This window comes from Homo sapiens, chromosome 20, assembly GCF_000001405.40.
Source record: "Homo sapiens chromosome 20, GRCh38.p14 Primary Assembly".
Classification (NCBI taxonomy): domain Eukaryota; kingdom Metazoa; phylum Chordata; class Mammalia; order Primates; family Hominidae; genus Homo; species Homo sapiens.
In genome coordinates this window covers 26,332,045-26,348,365 of record NC_000020.11, presented here as the reverse complement: position 1 = coordinate 26,348,365, position 16,321 = coordinate 26,332,045, and the positions used below count along the sequence as shown (strand labels likewise).

Below are 16,321 nucleotides of genomic sequence, written 5' to 3'. Positions count from 1 at the left end.
TGTGAAGATATTTCGTTTTTCACTATAGGCCTCAAAGTGCTCCAAATGATCACTTCCAGATACTACAAAAAGAGTGTTTCAAAACTGCTCTATGAAAGGGAATGTTCATCTCTGTGAGTTGAATGAAAGCATCACAAAGAAGTTTCTGAGAATGCTTCTCTCTAGTTTTTATGTGAAGATATATCCGTTTACAACGAAATCCTCAAAGATATACAAATATCCACTTGCAGTTTCTACAAAAACAGTGTTTCAAAACTCCTCTATCAAAAGGAAAGTTCAACTCTGTGAGTTGAATACACACATCACAAATGATTTTGTGAGAATTCCTCTGTCTAGCTTTTATGGGAAGATATTTCCTTTTTCACCTTAGGCCTCAAAGCGCTCCAATTTTCCTCTTACAGATTCTTCAAAATGAGTGTTTCAAAACTGCTCTAAAAAAAGGAACGTTTAAACTTGTGAGTTGAATGCAAGCATCACAAAGAAGTTTCTGAGAATGCTTCTGTCTAGTTTTTATGTGGAGATATACCCGTTTCCAGCGAAGGTCTCAAAGCTGTCCAAATATCCACTTGCAAATTCTACAAAAGAGTGTTTCCAATCTGCTCTATCAAAAGAAAGTTTCAACTCTGTTAAGTGAAGACACAAATCCCAAAGAAGTTTTTGAGAATGCTTCTGTCTAGTTTTATGTGAAGATATTCCCGTTTCCAACGAAATCCTCAATGCTGTTCTAATATGCACTTGTAAATTCTACAAGAAGAGTGCTTCAAAGCTGCTGTATCAAAGGACAGGTTTAACTCTTTGAGCTGAGTACACACATCAGAAATTAGTTTCTGAGAATTCTTCTGTCTATTTTTTATGTGAAGATATTCCCTTTTTCACCATAGGTTTCAAATCGCGCTAAATGTCCCATTTCAGATTCTACAAAAAGAGTGTTTCAAAACTGCTCTATGAAAAGGAATGTTCAACTCTGTGACTTGAATGCAAACATCACAAAAATTTTCTGAGAATTTTCTGAAGATATTCCCGTTTACAACGAAGGTCTCAAAGCTATCTAAACATCCACTTGCAGATCCTACAAAAAGAATGTTTCAAAACTACTGTATCAAAAGAAAGGTTCAACCCTGTGAGCTGAGTACACACATCACAAAAGTTTCTGAGAATTCTTCTGTCTAGTTTTTATGTGAAGATAATTCCTTTTTCACCATAGGTCCCAAAGCACTCCAAATGTCTACTTCCAGATACTGCAAAAGAGTATTTCAAAACTGCTGTATCAAAGGAAATGTTCAACTCTGCGAGTTGAGTACACACATCACAAAGAAGGTTCTGCGAATGCTTCTGTCTAGTTTTTATGTGAAGATATTTGTTTTTTCTACATAGTCCTCAAATCGCTCCAAATGTGCACTTCCAGATACTACAAAAAGAGTGTTTCAAAACCGCTCTATGAAAGAGAATGTTCAACACGGTGAATTGAATGCAAACATCACAAGGAAGTTTCTGAGAATACTTCTGTGCAGTTTTCTTGTGAAGATATTCCCGTTTCCAACGAAATCCTCAAAGCTATACAAATATCCACTTGCAGTTTCTATAAAAACAGTGTTTCATAACTGCTCTATCAAAAGAAAACTTCAAATCTGTGAGTTGAGTACACACAACACAAACGAGTTTCTGAGAATTCCTCTGTCTAGTTTTTATGGGAAGATATTTCCTTTTTCACCTTTGGCCTCAAAGCCCTCCAAGTTTCCTCTTACAGATTCTACAAAAAGAGTGTTTCAAAACTGCTCTTTGAAAAGGAATATTAAACTCTGTGAGTTGAATACAAGCATCACAAAAAGTTTCTGAGAACGTTTCTGTCTTGTTTTTATGTGAAGATATACCCGTTTCCAGGGAAGGTCTCAAAGCTGTCCAAATATCCTCTTGCAAATTCTACAAACAGAGTGTTTCCAATCTGCTCTATCAAAAGAAAGTTTCAACTCTGTGAGTTGAATGCATACATCACAAAGAAGTTTCTAAGAATGCTTCAGTCTAGTTTTATGTGAAGATATTCCCGTTTACAACGGAATCTTCAATGCAGTCCTAATATCCACTTGTAAATTCTACAAAAAGAATGTTTCAAACCTGCTATATCAAAGGAAAGGTTTAACTCTGTGAGTTGAGTACACACATCACAAAGAAGTTTCTGAGAATTCTTCTGTCTAGTTTTTATGTTAAGATACTTCCTTTTTCAGCATAGGCCTCAAATCGCTCCAAGATTCCACTTACAGATTTTTCAAAAAGAGTGTTTCAAAAGTGCTCTATGAAAAGGAATGTTCAACTCTTTGAATTGAATGGAAGCATAACATAGAAGTTTCTGAGAATGCTTCTTTCTAGTTTTTATGTGAAGCTATTTCCTTTTTCACCATAGGCCTCAAAGCACTCCAAATGTCCACTTCCAGATACTACAAAAAGAGCGTTTCTAAACTTATCTATGAAACAGAATGTTGAAATCTGTGAGTTGAATGCAAACCTCACAAAGAAGTTTCTGAGTATGCATCAGTCTCGTTTTTAAGTGAAGATATTCCCGTTTTCAATGAAAGCCTCAAATCTATCCTAATATCTACTTACGGATTCTACAAAAAGAATGTTTCAATACTGCTCTGTGAAAGGGAATATTCATCTCTGTGAGTTGAATGCAAACATCTCTAAGAAATTTCTGGTAATGCTTCCGTATACTTTTTATGTGAAGATATTCCCGTTTCCAGCGAAGGCCTCAAAGTTTTCCAAATATCCACTTGCAGATTCTACAAAAAGAGTGTTTCAAAACTGCTCTATCAAAAGAAAAATTCAACTCAGTGAGATGAGTACACACATCACTGAGAAGTTTTTGAGAATTCTTCTGTCTCTTTTTTACGGGAAGATATTTCCTTTTTCACCATAGGCCTCAAAGCGCTCCAAGTTTCCAATTAGAGATTCTACAAAAAGAATGTTTCAAAACTGCTCTATGAAAAGGAATGTTCAACTCTGTGTTGAATGCAAGCATCACAAGGTAGTTTCTGAGAATGCTTCTGTCTAGTTTTTATGTGAAAATATACCCGTTTCCAGCGAAGTACACAAAGCCGTCCAAATATCCACTTGCAAATTCCACAAAAAGAGTGTTTCCAGTCTTCTCTATCAAAAGAAAGTTTCAACTCTGTGAGTTGAGTATACACATCACAAAGAAGTTTCTGAGAATGCCTCTGTCTAATTTTTATGTGAAGATATTCCGTTTCCAGTGAAAGCCTCAAATCTATCCAAATATCCTCTTGCAAATACTACAAATAGAGTATTTCAAAACTGCTCTATGAAAGGGAGTGTTCAATTCTGTGAGTTCAATGCAAACATCACAAAGAAGTTTCTGAGAATGCTTCTGTCTAGTTTTTATGTGAAGATATACCCGTTTCCAGCCAAGGCCTCAAAGCTTTCCAAATATCCACTTGCAAATTCTAAAAAATGGTGTTTCCAATCTGCTCTATCAAAAGAAAGTTTCAACTCTGTAAGTTGAATGCACACATCACTAAGAACTTTCTAAGAAAGCTTCTGTCTAGTTTTATGTGAAGATATTGCCGTTTCCAGCGAAATCCTCAGTGCTGTCTTAATATCCACATGTAAATTCTACGAGAAGGGTTTTTCAAAACTGCTGTATCAAAGGAAAGTTTTAACTCTGTGAGTTGAGTAAACACATCACAAAGTAGTTTCTGAAAATGCTTCTGTGTACTTTTTGTGTGAAGATATTTCCTTTTTCACCATAGGTCTCAAATCACTCCAAACGTCCACTTGCAGATTCTGCAAAAAGAGTTTTTCAAAACTGCTCTATGAAAAGGAATGTTCAACTCTGTGAGTTGAATCCAAACATCACAAAGAAGTTTCTAAGAATGTTTCTGTCTGCTTTTTATGTGAAGATATTTCCTTTTTCACCATAGGCCACAAAGTGCTCCAAGTTTCAACTTACAGATCTACAAAAAGAATGTTTCCAACCTGCTCTATGAAAGGGAATGTTCAACTCTGTGACTTGAATGCAAACATCACAAAGAAGTTTCTGAGAATGCTTCTGTCTAAATTGTATATGAAGATATTTCCGTTTCCAATGAAAGCCTCTAAGCTCTCCATATATCCACTTGCAGATTCTACAAAAAGAGTGTTTCAAAACTGCTGCATCAAAAGAAATGTTCAACTCTGTGAGTTGAGTACACACATCACAAAGAAGTTTCTGATAATACTTTTCTCTAGTTTTATATGAAAATATTTCCTTTTTCACCATAGGTGTGAAAGCGCTCCAAATGTCCACTTCCAGTTACTTCAAAAAGAGTGTTTCAAAACTGCTCCATGAAAGGGAATATTCTGCTCTGTGAGTTGAATGCAAACATCACAAAGTATTTTCTGCGAATGCTTCTGTCTAGTTTTTATCTGAAGATATTCCCGTTTACAACGAAATCCTCAAAGCTATCCAATTATCCCCTTGCAAATTCTACAAAAGAGTGTTTTAAAACTGCTCTATCAAAAGAAGAGTTCAAATCTGTGAGTTGAGTACACACATCACATAGTAGTTTCTGAGAATTCTTCTGTCTATTTTTTATGGGAAGGTATTTCCTTTTTCACCATAGGCCTCAAGGCGCTCTAATTTTCCTCTTACAGATTCTACAAAAAGGTGGTTTCAAAACTGCTTTATGAACAGGAATGTTCCCCTCTATGAGTTGAATGAAAGCATCACAAAGAAGTTTCTGAGAATGCTTTGGTCTAGTTTTTATGTGAAGATATACCCGTTTCCAGCGAAGGCCTCAAAGCTGTCCAAGTATCCACTTGAAAATTGTACAAAACAGTTTTTCCAATCTGCTCTATCAAAAGAAAGTTTCAACTCTCTGAGTTGAATGCACACATCGTAAAGAAGTTTCTGAGAATTCTTCTGTCTAGTTTTATGTGAAGATATTCCCATTTCCAACGAAATCCTCAATGCTGTCCTTATATCCACTTGTAAATTCTACAAGAAGAGTGTTTCAAATCTGCTATATCAAAGGAAAGTTTTAACTCTGTGTGTTGAGTGCACACATCACAAAGTAGTTTCTGAGAATGATTCTGTCTACTTTTTGTGTGAAGATATTTCCTTTTTCACCATAGGTCCCAAATCGCTCCAATTGTCCACTTGCAGATTCTACAAAAATATTGTGTCAAATCTGCTCTATCAATAAGAATTTTCAACTGTGTGAGTTGAATGCAAATATCACAAAATAGTTTCTGAGAATGCTTCTGTCTATTTTTTATGTGAAGAAATTTCCCTTTCAACCATAGGCCCCAGATATACAATCATGTCGTCTGCAAACAGGGACAATTTGACTTCCTCTTTTCCTAATTGAATACCCTTTATTTCCTTCCCCTGCCTAATTGCCCTGGCCAGAACTTCCAACACTATGTTGAATAGGAGTGGTGAGAGAGGGCATCCCTGTCTTGTGCCAGTTTTCAAAAGGAATGCTTCCAGTTTTTCTCCATTCAGTATGATATTGGCTGTGGGTTTGTCATAGATAGCTCTTATTATTTTGAAATACTTCCCATCAATAACTAATCTATTGAGAGTTTTTAGCATGAAGGGTTGTTGAATTTTGTCAAAGGCTTTTTCTGCATCTATTGAGATAATCATGTGGTTTTTGTCTTTGGCTCTGTTTATATGCTGGATTACATTTATTGATTTGCGTATATTGAACCAGCCTTGCATCTCAGGGGTGAAGCCCATTTGATCATGGTGGATAAGCTTTTTGATGTGCTGCTGGATTCGTTTTGCCAGTATTTTATTGAGGAATTTTCCCATCGATGTTCATCAAGGATATTGGTCTAAAATTCTCTTTTTCTGTTGTGTCTCTGCCTGGCTTTAGTATCAGAATGATGCTGGCCTCAAAAAAACTACTTTAAAGTTCATATGGAACCAAAAAAGAGCCCGCATCACCAAGTCAATCCTAAGCCAAAAGAACAAAGCTGGAGGCATCACACTACCTGACTTCAAACTATACTACAAGGCTACAGTAACCAAAACAGCATGGTACTGGTACCAAAACAGAGATATAGATCAATGGAACAGAACAGAGCCCTCAGAAATAATGCCACATATCTACAACTATCTGATCTTTGACAAACCTGAGAAAAACAAGCAATGGGGAAAGGATTCCCTATTTAATAAATGGTGCTGGGAAAACTGGCTAGCCTTATGTAGAAAGCTGAAACTGGATCCCTTCCTTACACCTTATACAAAAATCAATTCAAGATGGATTAAAGACTTAAACGTTAGACCTAAAACCATAAAAACCCTAGAAGAAAACCTAGGCATTACCATTCAGGACATAGGCATGGGCAAGGACTTCATGTCTAAAACACCAATAGCAATGGCAACAAAAACCAAAATTGACAAATGGGATCTAATTAAACTAAAGAGCTTCTGCACAGCAAAAGAAACTACCATCAGAGTGAACAGGCCACCTACAAAATGGGAGAAAATTTTTGCAACCTACTCATCTGACAAAGGGCTAATATCCAGAATCTACAATGAACTCAAACAAATTTACAAGAAAAAAACAAACAACCCCATCAAAAAGTGGGCGAAGGACATGAACAGACACTTCTCAAAAGAAGACATTTATGCAGCCAAAAAACACATGAAAAAATGCTCATCATCACTGGCCATCAGAGTAATGCAAATCAAAACCACAATGAGATACCATCTCACACCAGTTAGAATGGCAATCATTAAAAAGTCAGGAAACAACAGGTGCTGGAGAGGATGTGGAGAAATAGGAACACTTTTACACTGTTGGTGGGACTGTAAACTAGTTCAACCATTGTGGAAGTCAGTGTGGCGATTCCTCAGGGATCTAGAACTGGAAATACCATTTGACCCAGCAATCCCATTACTGGGTATATACCCAAAGGACTATAAATCATGCTGCTATAAAGACACATACACACGAATGTTTATTGCGGTATTATTCACAATAGCAAAGACTTGGAACCAACCCAAATGTCCAACAATGATAGACTGGATTAAGAAAATGTGGCACATATACACCATAGAATACTACGCAGCCATAAAAAATGATGAGTTCATGTCCTTTGTAGGGACGTGGATGAAATTGGAAATCATCATTCTCAGTAAACTATCGCAAGAACAAAAAACCAAACACTGCATATTCTCACTCATAGGTGGGAATTGAAAAATGAGATCACATGGACACAGGAAGGGGAATATCAAACTCTGGGGACTGTTGTGGGGTGGGTGTAGGGGGGAGGGATAGCATCGGGAGATATACCTAATGCTAGATGATGACTTAGTGGGTGCAGCGCACCAGCATGGCACATGTATACATATGTAACTAACCTGCATAATGTGCACATGTACCCTAAAACTTAAAGTATAATAATAAAAAAAAAGATCCTTGCAATGTCACCAAGGAAGGCAATATATATAAGTGAATCACATACACAGCTGTACAAATGTGTGCCCATATATAGGCAAAAAAAAGATAGTTATGACTGTGATCCTGAACAGACTTACAGCTATATTATCTACTTTAATCACAAAATAAAGCAATTTGGAATGAATGAAAAAAAAAAACCATAGGCCCCAAAGCACTCTAAGTAAACACTTGCAAATTCTACAAAAAGAGTGTTTCAAACTGCTGTATCAAAGGAAATGTTAAGCTCCGCGATTTGAACGCACACGTCACAAAGTAGTTTCTGAGAATGATTCTGTCTAGTTTTTCTATGAAGATATTTCCTTTTCTACCATAGGCCTCAAAGAGCTCTAAATATACACTTGGAACTTCTTCAAAAACAGTGTTTCAAAACTGCTCTATCGAAAGGAAGTTTCATCTCTGTGAGTTCAATGCACACATCACAAAGAAGTTTCTGAGAATTCTTCTGTCTAGTTTTATATGAAGAAATCCCGTTTCCAAAGAAGGCCTCAAAGAGGTCCAAATATCCACTTGCAGATTCTACAAAAAGAGTGTTTCAAAACTGCTCTATCAAGAGGAATGTTCAACTTTGTGAGTTGAATGCAAACATCACAAAATAGTTTCTGAGAATGCTTCTGTCTAGTTTTTATGTGAAGAAATTTCCTTTCCAACCATAGGTCCCAAAGCACTCTAAATAAAAACTTGCAAATTCTACAAAAAGAGTGTTTCAAAACTGCTCTATCAAAAGAAAGGTTAAACTCTGTGAGTTGAACGCCCACATCACAAAGTAGTTTCTGAGAATCATTCTGTCTAGTTTTTATATGAAGATATTTACTTTTCAACCATAGGCCTCAAACCGCTCTAAATATCCACTTGGAAATTCCACAAAAAGAGTGTTTCAAAACTGCTCTATTGAAAGGAATGTTCAACTCTGTGAGTTGAATGCACACATCACAAAGAAGTTTCTGAGAATTCTTCTGTCTAGTTTTATATGAAGAAATCCCGTTTCCAATGAAGGCCTCAAAAAGGTCCAACCATCCACTTGCAGATTCTACAAAAACAGTGTTTCAAAACTGCTCTACCAAGAAGAATGTTCAACTCTATGAGTTGAATGCAAATATCAGAAAGTAGTTTCTGACAATCCTTCTGTCTAGTTTTTATGTGAAGATATTTCCTTTTCTACCATATTCCTCAAAGCGCTCTAAATACACACTTGCAAATTCCACAAAGAGTGTTTCAAAACTGCTCTATCAAAAGAAACTTTAAACTCCTCTGTAAGCTGAACGCACACATCACAAAATAGTTTCTGAGAATTATTCTGTCTAGTATTTTTATGAAGATATACCCTTTTCTACCATAGACCTAAAAGCATTCTAAACATACACTTGCAAATTCTACAAAAAGAGTGTTTCAAAACTGCTCTATCAAGAAGAATGTTCAACTCTATGAGTTGAATGCAAATATCACGAATTAGCTTCGGAGAATGCTTCTGTCTAGTTTTTATGTGATGATATTTCCTTTTCTACCATTGGCCTCAAAGCACTCTAAATATACACTTGCAAATCCTACAAAAAGAGTGTTTCAAAACTGCTCTATCAAAAGAAAGGTTAAACTTTGTGAGTTGAACGCACATATCATGAAGACGTTTCTGAGAATTCTTCTGTTTAGTTTTATATGAAGAAATCTCGTTTCCAACGAAGGCCTCAAAGAGGTCCAAATATCCACTTGCAGATAATTCAAAATAGAGTTTCAAAACTGCTCTATCAAGGGGAATGTTCAACTCTGTGAGTTGAATGCAAACATCACAAAGTAGTTTCTGAGAATGGTTCTGTCTGGTTTTTATGTGAAGATATTTCCTTTTCTAACATAGGCTTCAAAGCTCTCTATATATACACTTGCAATCACTACAAAAAGAGTGTTTCAAAACTGCTCTATCAAAGAAAGGTTAAACTCCGTGAGTTAAACGCACAGATCACAAAATAGTTTCTGAGAATTCTTCTGTCTAGTTTTATATGAAGAAATCCCGTTTCCAATGAACGCCTCAAAGAGGCCAAAATATCAACTTGCAGATTCTACAAAAAGAGTGTTTCAAAACTGCTCTATCAAGAGGAATGTTCAACTCTGTTAGTAGAGGGCACACATCACAAAATAGTTTCTGAGAATGCTTCTGTCTTGTGTTTATATGAAGATATTTCCTTTTCTACCCTAGGCCTAAAAGCCCTCTAAATACACACTTGCAAATTCTACAAAAAGAGCGTCTCAAAACTGCTCTATCAAAAGAAATGTTAAACTCTGAGAGTTGAAAGCACACACCACAAAGTAGATAATGAGAATGATTCTCTCCAGTTTTTCTATGAAGATATTTACTTTTCTACCATAGGCCTCCAAGCACTCTAAATATTCATTTGGAAATTCTACAAAAAGAGTGTTTCAAAAATGCTCCATTGAAAGGAAGTTTCAACACTGTGAGTTGAATGCACACATCACAAAATGTTTCTTAGAATTCTTCTGTCTTCTTTTCTATGAAGAAATCCCGTTTCCAACGAATGCCTCAAAAAGTTTCAAATATTCACATGCAGATTCTACAAATAAAGTGTTTCAAAACTGCTCTATCAAGAGGAATGTTTAAATCTGTTAGTGGAATGCAAACATCACAAAGTAGTTTCTGACAATTCTTCTGTCTAGTTTTTATGTGAAGATATTTCCTCTTCTACCATAGGCCTCAAAGCACTCTAAATATGCACTTGCAAATACTACAAAAACTGTGATTCAAAACTGCTCTACCAAAAGAAATATTAAACTCTGTGAGTTGAATGCAAACATCACAAAATAGTTTCTGAGAATGCTTCTGTCTGGTTTTTATGTGAAGATATATCCTTTTCTTCCATAGGCCTCAAAGCACTCTAAATATACCCTTGCAAATTCTACAAAAAGAGTGTTCCAAATCTACTCCATCAAAATAAATGTTAAACTCTGTGAGTTGAATGCACACATCACAAAGAAGTTTCTGAGAATTCTTCTGTCAAGTTTTATGTGAAGAAAGCCCGTTTCCAATGAAGGCCTCAAAAAAGTCCAAATATTCACTTGCAGATTCCACAAAAAGAGTGTTTCAAAAGTGCTCTATCAAGAGGAATGTTCAACTCTGTGAGTTGAATGCAAACATCACAAAATACTTTCTGACAATGCTTCTGTCTGTTTTTTATGTGAAGATAAATCCTTTTCTTACATAGGCCTCAAAGCACTCTAAATATACACTTGCAAATTCTACAAAAGAGAGTTTTAAAACTGCTCTATCAAAAGAAAGGTTAAACTCTGTGAGTTGAACGCACACATCATAAAGTAGTCTCTGAGAATCATTCTGTCTAGTTTTTATATGAAGATATTTACTTTTCTAACATAGGCCTCAAGCCGATCTAAATATCCACTTGGAAATTCTACAAAACGAGTGTTTCAAAACTGCTCTATCGAAAGGAAGGTTCAACTCTGTGAGTTGAAAGCACACATCACAGAGAAGTTTCTGAGAATTCTTCTGTCTAATTTTATATGAAGAAATCCCATTTCCAACGAAGGCCTCAAAGATGTCCAAATTTCCACTTCCATGTTCTACAAAAAGAGTGTTTCAAAACTGCTCTATCAAGAGGAATGTTCAGCTCTGGGAGTTGAATGCAAACATCACAAAGTAGTTTCTGAGAATGCTTCTGTCTAGTTTTTATGTGACGATATTTCCTTTTTTACAATAGGCCTCAAAGCGCTGTAAATATACACTTGCAAATTCTACAAAAAGAGTGTTTCAGAACTCCTCTATCAATAGAAAGTTTAAACTCTGTGAGTTGAACGCACACATTCCAAAAGAGTTTCTGAGAATTCTTCTGTCTAGTTTTATATGAAGAAATCCCGTTTCCAATGAAGGCCTTAAAGGGGTCCAAATATCCACTTGCAGAATCTACAAAACGAGTGTTTCAAAACTGCTCTGTCAAGAGGAACGTTCAACTTTGTAAGTTGAATACAAACATCACAAAGTAGTTTCTGAGAATGCTTCTGTCTAGTTTTCATGTGAATGTATTTCCTGTTCTACCATTGGCCTCAAAGCACTCTAAATATGCACTTGCAAATACTACAAAAACTGTGTTTCAGAACTGCTCTATCAAAAGAAATGTTAAACTCTGTGAGTTCAACACACAAATCACAAAGTAGTTTCTGAGAATGATTCTGTTTAGTTTTTCTATGAAGATATTTCCTTTTCTACCATAGGCCTCCAAACGCTCTAAATATCCACTTGGAAATTCTACAAAAAGATTGTTTCAAAACTACTCTATCAGAAGAAAGGTTAAACTCTATGAGTTGAACCCACACATCAAAAAGCAGTTTCTCAGAAAAATTCTGTCTAGTTTTTCTATGAAGATATTTCCTTTACTACCACAGGCCTCAAAATGCTCTAAATATCCATTTGGAAATTCAACAAAAAGAGTGTTTCAAAACTGCTCTATCGAAAGGAAGGTTCATATCTGCGAGATGAATGCTCACTTCACAAAGAAGTTTCTGCGAATTCTTCTGTCTAGTTTTATATGAAGAAATCCCATTTCCAACGATAGCCTCAAAGAAGTCCAAATATCCACTTGCAGATTGTACAAAAAGAGTATTTCAAAACTACTTTATTAAGAGGAATGGACAAATCAGTGAGTTGAATGCAAACATCACGAATTAGTGTCTGAGAATGCTTCTGTCCAGTTTTTATGTGAATATATTTCCTTTTCTAACATAGGCCTCAAAGCACTATAAATGTACACTTGCAAATTCCACAAAAAGAGTGTTTCTAAACTGCTCTATCGAAAGGAAGATTAAACTCCGTGAGTTGAAAGCACACATCACAAAGTAGATTCTGAGAATTCTTCTGTCTTGTTTATATGAAGAAAACCCGTTTCAAAGAATGCCTCTAAGAGGTCCAAATATCCACCTGCAGATAATACAAAAAGAGGGTTTCCAAACTGCTCTATCAAGAGGAATGTTGAACTCTTTGAGTTGAATGCAAACATCACAAGGTACTTTCTGAGAATGCTTCTCTCTAGTTTTTAAGTGAAGGTATTCCCGTTTCCAACGAAAGCCTCAAAGCTATCCAAATATCCACTTACAGATTCAACAAAAAGAGTGTTTCAAAACTGCTGTATCAAAAGAAAGTTTCAAATCTGTTAGTTGAGTACACACATCACAAAGAAACTTCTGAGAATGTTTCTGTCTAGTTTTTATGTGAACATATTTCCTTTTTCACCACAGGCCTCAAAGAGCTCCAATTTTCCACTTACAGATCTACAAAAAGAGTGTTTCAAAACTGCTATGAAAAGGAATGTTCAACTCTGTGAGTTGAATGCAAACATCACAAAAAAGTTTCTGAGAATCCTTCTGTCTAGTTTTTATGTGAAGATATTCCCGTTTCCAACGAAAACCTCAAATCTATCCAAATATCCACATGCAGATTCTACAAAAAGAGTGCTTCAAAACTGCTTTATCAAAACAAAGGTTCAACTACATGAATTGAGTACACACATCACAAAGTAGTTTCTCAGAATGCTTCCGTCTAGTTTTTATGTGAAGATATTTCCTTTTTCACCATAGGTCTCAAAGCGTTCAAAATGTCCACTTCCAGATACTGCAAAAAGAGTTTTTCAAAACTGCTCTATGAAAGGGAATGTTCAACTCCGTGAGGTGAATGCAAACATCACAAAGAAGTTTCTGAGAATGCTTCTGTCTAGTTTATATGTAAAGATATTCCCGTTTCCAATGTAATCTTCAAAGCTAACAAAATATCCACTTGCAGACACTGCAAAAAGAGTGTTTCAAAACTGCTCTATCAAAAGAAAAGTACAACTCTGTGAGTTGAGTACACACATCACAAAGAAGTTTCTGAGAATTCTTCTGTCTAGTTTTTATAGGAAGATATTTCCTTTTTCACCACAGGCCTCAAAGCGCTCCAAGTTTCCACTTACAGATTCTACAAAAAGGTTGTTTCAAAACTGCTCCATGAAAAGGAAAGTTCAACACTGTGAGTTGAATGGAGGCATCAGAAAGAAGTTTCTGAGAATCCTTCTGTCTAGTTTTTATGTGAAGATATTCCCGTTTCCAACGAAAGCCTCAAAGCTATCCAAATATCCACTTGCAGATTCTACAAAAAGAGTGTTTCTAAACTACTGTATCAAGAGAAAGTTTCAACTCTGTAAGTTGAGTACACACATCACAAAGAAATTTCATGGAATGCTTCTGTCTAGTTTTATGTGAAGATAATCCCATTTCCAATGAAATCCTCAATGCTCTCCTAATATCCACTTATAAATTCTACAAGAAGAGTGTTTCAAAACTGCTGTATCAAAGGAAAGTTTAACTCATTGAGTTTAGTGCACACATCAAAAAGCAGTTTCTGAGAATGCTTCTGTCTACTTTTTATGTGAAGATATTTCCTTTTTCACCATAGGTCTCAAATCGCTCCAAATGTCCACTTGCAGATTCTACAAAAAGAGTGTTTCAATACTACTCTCAGGAAAGGAATGTTCAACTCTGTGAGTTGAATGCAAATATCCCAAAGAACTTTCTGAGAATGCTTCTGTCTAGTTTTTTTGTGATGATAGTCCCTTTTCCAAAGAAAGCCTCATATCTATCCAAATATCCACATGCAGATTCCACAAAAAGACTGTTTCAAAACTGCTGTATCAAAAGAAAGTTTCAACTCTGTGAGTTGAGTACACACATCTCAAAGAAGTTTCTGAGAATGCTTCTGTTTAGTTTTTATGTGAAGATATTTCCTTTTTCACTATAGGTCTCCAATCGCTCCAAATGTCCTCGTGCAGATTCTACAAAAAGAGTGTTTCAAATCTGCTCTATGAAAAGGAATGTTCAACTCTGTGAGTTGTATGCAAACATCACAAAGAAGTTTCTGAGAATGGTTGTGTACTGTTTATATGTGAAGATATTCACGTTTCCAACGAAAGACTCAAAGGTATCCAAATATCCACTTGCAGATTCTACAAAAAGAGTGTTTCAAAACTGCTCTATCAAAACAAAGATTCAACTGTGGGAATTGAGTACACACATCACAAAGTAGTTTCTGAGAATGCTTCTGTCTAGTTTTTATGTGAAGATGTTCCCTTTTTCACCGTAGACCTCAAAGCCCTCCAAATGTTCACTTCCAGATACTACAAAAAGAGGGTTACAAAACTGCTCAATGAAAGGGAGTGTTCAACTCTGTGAGGTGAATGCAAACTTCACAAAGAAGCTTCTGAGAATGCTTCTGTCTAGTTTTTATGTGAAGATATTCCCGTTTCCAACGAAATCCTCAAAGCTATCCAAATAGCCACTTGCAGATCCTTCAAAAAGAGTTTTTCAAAACTGCTCTATCAAAAGAAAGGTTCATCTCTGTGAGTTGAGTACACACATCACAAAGAAGTTTCTGAGAATGCTTCTGTCTAGTTTTTATGTGAAGGTATACCCTTTTACAGCGAAGGCCCCAAATCTGTCCAAATATCCTCTTGCAAATTCTACAAAAAGAGTGTTTCAAATATGCTCTATCAAAAGAAAGTTTCAACTCTGTGAGTTCAATGCACACATCACAAGGAAGTGTCTGAGAATGTCTGTGAGATCATTGCAGACATCCAAATAAGTGTCTGAGAATGCTTCTGTCTAGTTTTATGTGAAGATATTCCCGTTTCTAACGAAATCCTCAATGCTCTCCAATATCCACTTGTAAATTCAACAAAAAGAGTGTTTCAAAACTGCTGTATCAAAGGAAAGGTTTAACTCTTTGAGTTTAGTACACACATCGCAAAGTAGTTTCTGAGAATGCTTCTGTCTACTTTTTATGTGAAGATATTTCCTTTTTTACCATTGGTCTCAAATAGCTCCTAATGTCCACTAGCAGATTTTACAAAAAGAGTGTTTCAATAGAGCTCTATGAAAAGGAATGTTCAACTCTGTGAATTGAATGCAAACATCACAAAGAAGTTTCTGAGAATGATTTTGTCTAGTTGTTTTGTGATGATATTCCCGTTTCCAATGAAAGCCTCAAAGCTATCCAAATATCCACTTGCAGACTCTACAAAAAAAGTTTTTCAAAACTGCTGTATCAAAAGTAAGGTTCAACTCTGTGAGTTGAGTACACACATCACAAAGCAGTTTCTGAGAATGCTTCTGTCTAGTTTTTATGTGAAGATATTTCCTTTTTCACTATAGGTCTCAAATCGCTCCAAATGTCCACTTGCAGATTCTACAAAAAGAGTGTTTCAAAACTAGACTATGAAAAGGAATGTTTAACTCTGTGAGTTGAATGCAAGACTCACAAACAAGTTTCTGAGAATGCTTGTGTCCAGTTTTTTGTGAAGATATTCACGTTTCCAGCAAAAACCTCAAAGCTATCAAAATATCGATTTGCAGATTCTACAAAAAGAGTGTTTCAACACTGCTGTATCAAAAGAAAGATTCAACGCTGTGAGTTGAGTACACACATCACAAAGTAGTTTCTGAGAATTCTTCTGTCTAGTTTTTATGGGAAGATATTTCCTTTTTCACCATAGGCCTCAAAACCCTCCAAATTTCCACTTCCAGATTCTTCAAAAAGAGTGTTTCAAAACTGCTCTATGAAAAGGAGTGTTCAGCTCTGTGAGTTGAATGCAAGCATCACAAAGAAGTTTCTGAGAATGCTTCTGTCTATTTTCTATGTGAAGATATACCCGTTTCCAGCAAAGGCCTCAAAGCTGTCTAAATACCCACTTGCAAATTAGGCAAAAAGAGGGTTTCCTATCTGCTCTATCAAAAGAAAGTTTCAACTCTGTGAGTTGAATGCAGACATCACAAAGAAGTCTCTAAGAATGCGTCTGTCTAGTTTTATGTGAAGATAT

At 35.9% G+C, this 16,321-nt stretch overlaps 4 annotated features.

Moving 5' to 3' along the window:
* Window positions 10,236–10,789: an enhancer, noted in NCBI's record as "OCT4-NANOG-H3K27ac hESC enhancer chr20:26318213-26318766 (GRCh37/hg19 assembly coordinates)". NCBI's record gives its function as "activates a minimal SCP1, AML or CMV promoter by ChIP-STARR-seq in primed H9 embryonic stem cells {active_cell/tissue: H9 hESC(primed)}" and the evidence as "EXISTENCE:reporter gene assay evidence [ECO:0000049][PMID:30033119]".
* Window positions 13,971–14,547: an enhancer, noted in NCBI's record as "OCT4-NANOG hESC enhancer chr20:26314455-26315031 (GRCh37/hg19 assembly coordinates)". NCBI's record gives its function as "activates a minimal SCP1, AML or CMV promoter by ChIP-STARR-seq in primed H9 embryonic stem cells {active_cell/tissue: H9 hESC(primed)}" and the evidence as "EXISTENCE:reporter gene assay evidence [ECO:0000049][PMID:30033119]".
* Window positions 14,548–15,126: an enhancer, noted in NCBI's record as "OCT4-NANOG-H3K27ac hESC enhancer chr20:26313876-26314454 (GRCh37/hg19 assembly coordinates)". NCBI's record gives its function as "activates a minimal SCP1, AML or CMV promoter by ChIP-STARR-seq in primed H9 embryonic stem cells {active_cell/tissue: H9 hESC(primed)}" and the evidence as "EXISTENCE:reporter gene assay evidence [ECO:0000049][PMID:30033119]".
* Window positions 15,127–15,704: an enhancer, noted in NCBI's record as "OCT4-NANOG-H3K27ac hESC enhancer chr20:26313298-26313875 (GRCh37/hg19 assembly coordinates)". NCBI's record gives its function as "activates a minimal SCP1, AML or CMV promoter by ChIP-STARR-seq in primed H9 embryonic stem cells {active_cell/tissue: H9 hESC(primed)}" and the evidence as "EXISTENCE:reporter gene assay evidence [ECO:0000049][PMID:30033119]".